The sequence below is a fragment of the Homo sapiens genome, chromosome 7 (genome assembly GCF_000001405.40).
Source record: "Homo sapiens chromosome 7, GRCh38.p14 Primary Assembly".
Lineage (NCBI taxonomy): Eukaryota > Metazoa > Chordata > Mammalia > Primates > Hominidae > Homo > Homo sapiens.
Window position 1 is genome coordinate 54,284,572 of NC_000007.14, and position 8,318 is coordinate 54,292,889.

General features: G+C 34.2%; 1 annotated feature.

Annotated features, from left to right (window-relative positions):
- Positions 7,405-8,115: an enhancer, noted in NCBI's record as "OCT4-NANOG hESC enhancer chr7:54359669-54360379 (GRCh37/hg19 assembly coordinates)". NCBI's record gives its function as "activates a minimal SCP1, AML or CMV promoter by ChIP-STARR-seq in naive H9 embryonic stem cells {active_cell/tissue: H9 hESC(naive)}" and the evidence as "EXISTENCE:reporter gene assay evidence [ECO:0000049][PMID:30033119]".

Consider the following 8,318-nt stretch of genomic DNA (forward strand, 5'->3'; position numbering starts at 1 on the left):
AAATATATTAAATTATTGTGGAACGTACATATTAAATTATCTTTATTTCAGTGTTACTTGAATATACACAACATAAACTGCAAATTTCTCAGGCTTTGGATTTCTGTGAAAATATAGAGTTAAAGCAATTTAGTAAATTAATGCAAACAAAATTAAAATCATATTAAATCAATAAAATGAAGATGCTTAAAACCACTGCTAGTGGTGGTGATATCAGCAAGATGACAGAATAGGAGCATTTTGCTGTTATCTCTGCACAGAAGCATCAATTTTGACAGCCACTGGCAGATGAGAGTCCCTATGTGAAAGTCCAGGAGTCAAATCCGGAAAATTCAACACACTATGGAGCAAAAAGTCTGAGAACAGATGGATTAAAGAGGATACTTTATTCCTGTCACCCCTCCCACAGGCGGCACAGCTCGGTGTCAACGAACACTCTTGACACACGATTTCCTTCACAGGATAAAGTGTGAGCACAGGATAAAGCTGAGTGAGCACTCAGCTTTCCCAGCTATGCGAGATGCTGCCCGAAAAACCCACTTTTTCTCACCCCACCCAGAATGCTGAGGTAATCAGCATGGTTGGGAAGGGCTGGGAGCAGAGAACAGAGAAGACATAGCAACAGAGGCTCAGAACTCAACCAAAGCTGGATCCTACTAACCACTTAGTGTACTACATCAGTTAAGTCCACACATGAGCCACTTCAAAAAAACTTACCTTGGACCTGCCAAGGCCTCACAGGCATACCCAATGCATCACACACCTCACTCCCTGTCACCCCATGACTGGCTCCCCACACAGTGCAGCAGAGAGCAATTGTGAGTCTCTACATATAGCTCCCGAGCATGCTTAGACAGTGGGCTTAACATTGTGAGATGCGAAGGAGGACACAAAGTTATGTATTGCAAGGCACCACTCCAGGGAAAAACAGACAGAAAACATCAAGCAACTACCCTGGCTTTGCAGGATTGAGAGAAGGCATATAATCATAAAAATTATTTTTCAAAAGGGATCAAAAAGTATGGAGAAGATAATCCATAGAAAAGGTCAGAAAGAGCCTAAGAATCTCTAGCCAGGCTGAGATATGAAGGTGTCTCTGTCCTGAAGCCAGTCAGTAAAGAGGAGAGAAGATTACTTGTTCTTCAAATGCAAGGACAGCAAGGCAAGACTGAAAGGAATACAAAAAAATCAAGGAACCATGACACCACCAAAGGAGCACAAATTTCTAATAACCAAACACAAAAATTTGAGACCTATAAATTGCCTTACACAGAATTCAAAACAATTTTAAAGAAGTTCAATGAGTTACGAAAGAATACAGATAAACAACTCAACAAAAAGCAGAAAAATAGTATATGAACAAACAGGATATTCAACAAAGAGATAGAAAGTATAAAAAGAATCAAACAGAAACTCTGGAGCTGAAGAATACATTGAAAGAAATAAAATATGCAATTGAGAGTTTCAACAGCAGACTGGATAGAGCAGAAGAGAGAATGTATACATTCAAAGACAGGTCACATGAAATAATCCAGAGGACAAAAAAAATAAAAGAAGTAGAATTTGGGAAGCCTATGGAATACATGGAACCCTATGAATAAAATTATCCAGTCAATGTAGAAAAAGATAAAAGAATGACAAGGATGAAAATAAAAGCCTATGGAATTTATTAGATTATTGAGAGACCTGATATATGAATTATGGAAGTCCCAGGAGTAAAAGAGAGAAGACTCAAATAAATAAACTCAGAAAAAAAAGAAAAACATTGCAACTAATAGCACAGAAATCACAAATATAAGGGACTATTATGAACAATTATAACCCAATAATTGGATAACCTAGAATAAATGGATAAATTATTAGAAATATGCAAACTACCAACAGTGAATCATGAAGAAAAAAGTCCAAAGAGGGCAATAATAAATATAGAGATTGAATCAGTAATCAAAAACCCACAACAAAGAAAAACTCAGGACCTGACTGCTTTACTGGTGAGTTCTACTAAACATTTAAATAATTAAAAGCAGTCCTCAACTCTTCTGAAATGTTGTCAAGGAGTAAACACATCCAAACTCCTTTTACAAGGCCAATATTACCTAGACATCAAAACCAGACAAAGTGGCCAGGTGTGGGGTGGCTCACGTCTGTAATCCCAGCACTTTGAGAGGACAAGACAGGTGAATCACTTGAGGTCAGGTGTTCAAGACCAGCCTGGCCAACATGGCAAAACCCCGTCTCTACTAAAAATACAATAAGTTAGCACCTGCCTGTAATTCCAGCTATTCAGGAAGCTGAGGCAGGAGAATCGCTTGAACCTGGGAGGCAGAGGTTGCAGTGAGTGGAGATCACACCACTGCACTCCAGCCTGGGAACATGGATGCATAAATTCTCAACAAAATACTGCTAAGCCAAATTCAAAGCTACATTAAAGGGATCGTACATTATGATAAGTAAAAAGTGATTTACCCCTGGGATGCAGGGATGGTTTGATCTGTGCAAATTAATAAATGTAATACACTACCTTAATATAATGAAGGATTATGTCATATGATCATCTTAATAGATGCATAAAAAGCATCTGATAAAACTCATCATCCTTTCATTATACAAACTCTCAACAAATTAGATATACATGGAAATGTACTACAAAATAATAAAGAACATATATGACTATAGCTAGCAACATACTCAGTGAAGAAAAACTAAATTTTTTTCTCTAAAATTATCAACAAGACAAGGTGTCCACTCTCATTACCTCTACTCAGTAAAATACTAGAAATCATAGCCAAAGCAATTAGGCAAAAAGGGAGAAAAAAAGAAATAAAAGACAACCGCATTGGAAGTCAATAAGTAAAATATTCTGTGTTTGCAGACGGCATTAACTTATGTACAGAAAGCACTAAAAACTCCACCAAAAACTGTTAGATCCACAAATTTAGTAAAGTTAATTTGGTAATTTAGTTGATTTAGCAAAATCAACATACATAAACTAGTTGTGTTTCTATACATGTACAAAGAACTATCTGAAAAATAAGGTAAGAAAACAAACTCACAACATAAAAAATTATAAAATGCTTAGAAATTTAACCAAGATGGTAAAAATCTGTCCACTGAAAACTTTACAATATAGATTACAAGACTGAAGAAGACACAAATAAATAGAAAGATACCTCATGCTCATAGATTGGAAGAATACATATTGGCAAAATATCCATAGTACCTAAAGTGATCTACATATTCAATGCAATTCCTATCAAAATTCCAGTGACATTTTTCACAGAAATAGAAAAAAATTAAAATTTGAATGGAACCCCAAAGACCCTGAATAGCTAAAACAATCTTGAGCAACAACCAAGCTATAGTCGTCACATTTCCTGATTTCAAATTATATTACAAAACTATAGTAATTAAAACAGTATGGTACTGGCATGAAAACAGACCAATGAAACAGAATAGAAAGCCCAGAAATAAACCCACTCATGTATGGTCAATGACTCTTTGAAAAGTTTCCAAGAATATATACAATGTGGAACAGCTAGTCCCTTCAATATATGGGGTTGGGAAAACAGGATATTCACGTGCAAAAGAATAAAATTGGACCCTTGTCTTAAACCACACACAAACATAAACTCAAAGTGGGTTAAAGACATAAAGGTAAGACCTGAAACTGTGAAACTCCTAGAAGAAAACAATATAGAAAAACTTCTTGATATTAGTCTCAAAAAATGTCTTTTGGATATGACATCAAAACAAAGTCAACAGAAGCAAAAATGAACAAGTGGGACTACATCAAACTAAAATGTTTTTGTATGTCAAACGAAACATACAATAAAATGAAAAGGCAACCTATGAAAAGGGAGAAAACATTTTCAAACCATGTATCCAATAAGGTGTTAATATGAAAATATAATAAAGAACTCATACAACTTAATAGAAAAAGAGACAAATAATTGATTAAAAATAAGCAAAGGTCCTAAATAGGTATTTCTTAGAAGAAGACAAACAAATGGCCAAGGGATAATTAAAGCCAAAATGAAATATCACCTCACCTGTTAGAATCACTAAACTAAAGCTAACTGATCTTCATCAAGGTCATTAAGAATATACATTGGGGAAAAAACTCTCTTCCATTAATGCTTCTGAGAAAACTTGATAGCCATGTGCAGAAGAATGAAACTGGACCCCTATCTCTCACCATATACAAAATCAACTCAAGATGATGTAAAGACTTAGACATAAGTCTAAAACTATAAAACTACTAGAAGAAAACATAGTGGAAATTCTTCAGGGTATTAGTCTAAGCAAGGATTTTACTGGTAAGACCTTTCAGGGTATTAGTCTAGGCAAGGATTTTATTGCTAAGAACTCAAAAGCACAGGCAACAACAACAACAAAATAGACAAATGAGACTAAACTAAAAATACTTTGCACAGCTAAAGACACAACAGATTAAAGAGACAATGTTTTGAATGGGAGAAAACATTTGCAAACTACTCACTTGACAGGAAACTGACATCCAGAATATAAAAATAACTCAACAGCAAAAAATAAAAATAAATTTAAAAAAGTCAAAGGACATATATAGACATTTCTCAAAAGAAGACATACAAATGGCCAACAGATATGTGAGAAAACACTAAATATCACTAATCGTTAGAATGACTACTTTCAAAGAGAAAAAACATAACAAGTTTTGGCAAGGATGAGGAGAAAAGAAAACTCTGGGAATTTAAATTAGTACAGTCACTATCAAAAACAGTATGGAGATATCTCAAAAAATTAAAACTAGAACTTCTATAGGATCCAGCAATCCCACTGCTGGGTATTTATCCAAACAAAGAGGGATTAATATATCAAAGAGATACATGCACTTCCTTGTTTATTACAGCACTAGTCACAATATAAAAAATATGGAATCAATCTAAGTGTCTATCAATGCACGAATGGATAAAGAAAATATGACGTATATATAACCTGATGAAATACCATTTGGCCATAATAAAAAAGAATGAAATTTTGTCATTTGCAGCAACATGGATGAAACTAGAGATTATTGTGTTAAGTGAAATAAGCCAGACACAGACAAACAAATATCCCATGTTCTCATTCATATGTGGGAAATAAAAAAACGATCCCTTGGAGGTGGAGAGTAGAATGATAGATACCAGAGGCTGGGAGAGGTGTATGGTTTTGAAGGGAGGGGTGATGAAGAGCAGTTGGTTTATGGGTACAAACATAGTTGGATAAAACGAATAAGTTTTAATGTTTGATAGCAGAGTAGGGTAACTGTAGTTAGCAACGATGCATTTTTCTAAATAGCTAGAAGAGGGGTCTTGAAATGTTCCCAACACATAGAAATGATAAATAATCAGGTGATTGATGCCCTAAATACCCTGACTTTATCATTGCACATTCGATGCATGTAACAAAATTTCACATGTACCCCATAGATACATACAAATGTAATGTATCAAAAATAAAAATATTTTTATGAAAGACAACAACTGTTAACAAGGATATGAAGAAGAACTCTTAAATGCTGTTGACAGGAATGTAAATGTGTAAAGCCATTATGGAAACAATAAGAAGGCTACACAAAAAATTAAAAACAGGATCACCGCATAATCTGGTAACCCCAGTTTGGATATTTATCCAAAGGAAGTAAATTCATTATCTTAAAGAGATACCTGAACTTCCATGTTCATTGTGGTATTTTTCATAATAGCCAAGATATGGCAACAACTTAAATATCCACTGATGAATGGTTAAAGAAAATATGACATAAGAAGAAAATTCTGCCATTGTATCAATATGGATGAACCCAGAGAACATTATGGTAAGTGAAATAAGTTAGTCACAGAAAGACAAATACTGTATAATCACACAAGAGGTTTAACATTCTCTTGTTAAAAGTATTACATTGCTTCTAAAATTTGGCTATTAAAAATTGTTAAATAGCATTGTTTGTGCTTTTTTGTGTAGTTATATTTCTAGGTATCAAACTAGAAATTATATTGCAGAGAAAAATAATTTATTACTTCTAAATTGCTCTTGAGAGAGGTTGTATGAGTTTAATCTCTCGTAAATCAAAACTTAATATGATCAAAGTTTAAAGTGTCTTGTTTTTATCAATGAAAACTATTATTTCTTTGTTGTTCTAATTTTTATCCTACTTTCTAATGAGGTTGAGATTTATATAAATTGATCATTTATGTTTATTATTATTTTTAATTTTTTGTAGCTCCATTGTTAATTATTTATATTAATGTATAGAAAGTATTTATATAATTTAAATACTGAAGAATACAATGAATGAAACAAAAAATGCAATTTACATAGCACATAGATATAGAATCTTGGGGGTAGGAACAGTCTTTCTCAAATAGCAAAAATGCCATAATGAAAATGAATTATTATTATTAACTTACCTAAATTAAACAACAAATTTATGGAACAAGGACTTCACAAAATTCAAAACAAATGAAATATTTTGAGAATACATTTGTGTGTATGTATATACATATGTACTCAAAATATACAATGTATGCTAAATACTAATTTTTGGCTATTAAATTTTGCTATATTTGTACTATGGAATACTTTTTCACAGTTGACAATAGATAGCTAGATCCATATAAAGTTCCTTGGATAGCTTCCCAAGATATATTATAAAAAATATGTATATGTTACAACATATAATATATCCTTTAAAAAGACACCTAAACACAGTAACATATATTTATATCAGTACACATACGCATAGATATGTGTCTAAATGTATCACATGAAACTAACATATATGATCAGCTCCAGAAAATAAATATGGAACTGGAATTAGATTGGAAGCCAACAGAGAGAATTAATCATCCTCTGTAACGGATTTTGTGCTTATTTGCTTGTGTCTCTTCATATGTTAATTATGTAATTAAAAAGTCATTTAAAAATAAAATTTTGTACTCAGGAAGCTGAGGCAGGAGAATGGCGTGAACCCGGAAGGAGGAGCTTGCAGTGAGCCGAGATCACGCCACTGCACTCCAGCCTGGGTGACAGAGTGAGACTCCGTCTCAAAAAAAAATAAAATTATATTATGAATTTAACTTTATGCACCTTATTTGGATGTTGAACCAAATTTATTTACTTATTTATAAATATTATAGAGGTGAGAACTCTCTGTGTTTTCCAAACTGGTCTCAAACTCCTGGGCTCAAGTGATCCTCCCGCCTCAGCCTCCCAAAATGTTGGGATTACAGATGCGGGCCACCACACCTGGTCTGAAACCAAATTTCTCTTTGACTGTTTTATTTTTATTATTTTTGCAAAATTAAATGTAAAATCCTTGGCTTTGGGCTGTAAAATATAGGCAATACATAGCTATGTTGCTAATAACATACACTCTTCGTTAGTACAATGACTATGTTCTTGATAAGCATGGAGTGAGCTAATAAGGGAGACGGAAGGAAATGAGGATAGGTGATAACACTATGCTGTCAGGGAAATCAGTCTTTCACTGCCCCAGCTGCTGACCTCAGCTGTGTTCCACTGACCTCTGTTAACAACATTTCTTTATTCTTTTTTAGTTTTTTGAATTGATACTTTGTAATTGTACACATTTATGTGGTACAATTTGATGTTTTGATACATGCATTCATTGTATAACATTTTTCTCTAGTCTGCAGGAAGGGTTTGGAATTTCTTCCAGTCTGTGTGATGAGCCACTGAAAACTCTATTCTCTGTGAGATGTACTGAGACTGATGCTTTGTCAGCATTCGGTGATGGTCATGAAGCCTTTGTGCTGAAACTTGGCTAAGGAGCCCCCTGGAGTCTTCTCACAGATCCTTGTCAGTGCTTCAGCTGTCTCAAACACAAGCCGCTTAGTTGTGCTGCTTTACATTACAAAAGCAACTTGTAAACAGGTTGAAGGTAAAAGCATGTTTTCCACATTTTTTAAGATTTTTTAAGATTTTCAAAAACAATTTGTTCAAAAGCAGATTTTGTATCAATATGTTTATATTTCTTAAGAACTACTTGCTTATAATTTGGCAAAGTGGGGAGAAAACACCATCAAATAATTCCACTTGGAGGGAGGAGGTATCCTTTAAACATTCTCACACAAGGCACACAAACCGCATAGCTGACCCGGGTGCTTCCCTTTCCCCGGAGGAGCGCAGCTTTAATTTTCTCTCACGTTCTAATCTTTCTGCCTATGTTGCTGCTGACCAAATTCAACTGGAAGCAAGAAGGGAGAACACAGCATACAGAAGTCAGCCTCCCAGGGCTGGGCTTGGGGTAAAGGATAGAGACTGGAGCAAAATGAACA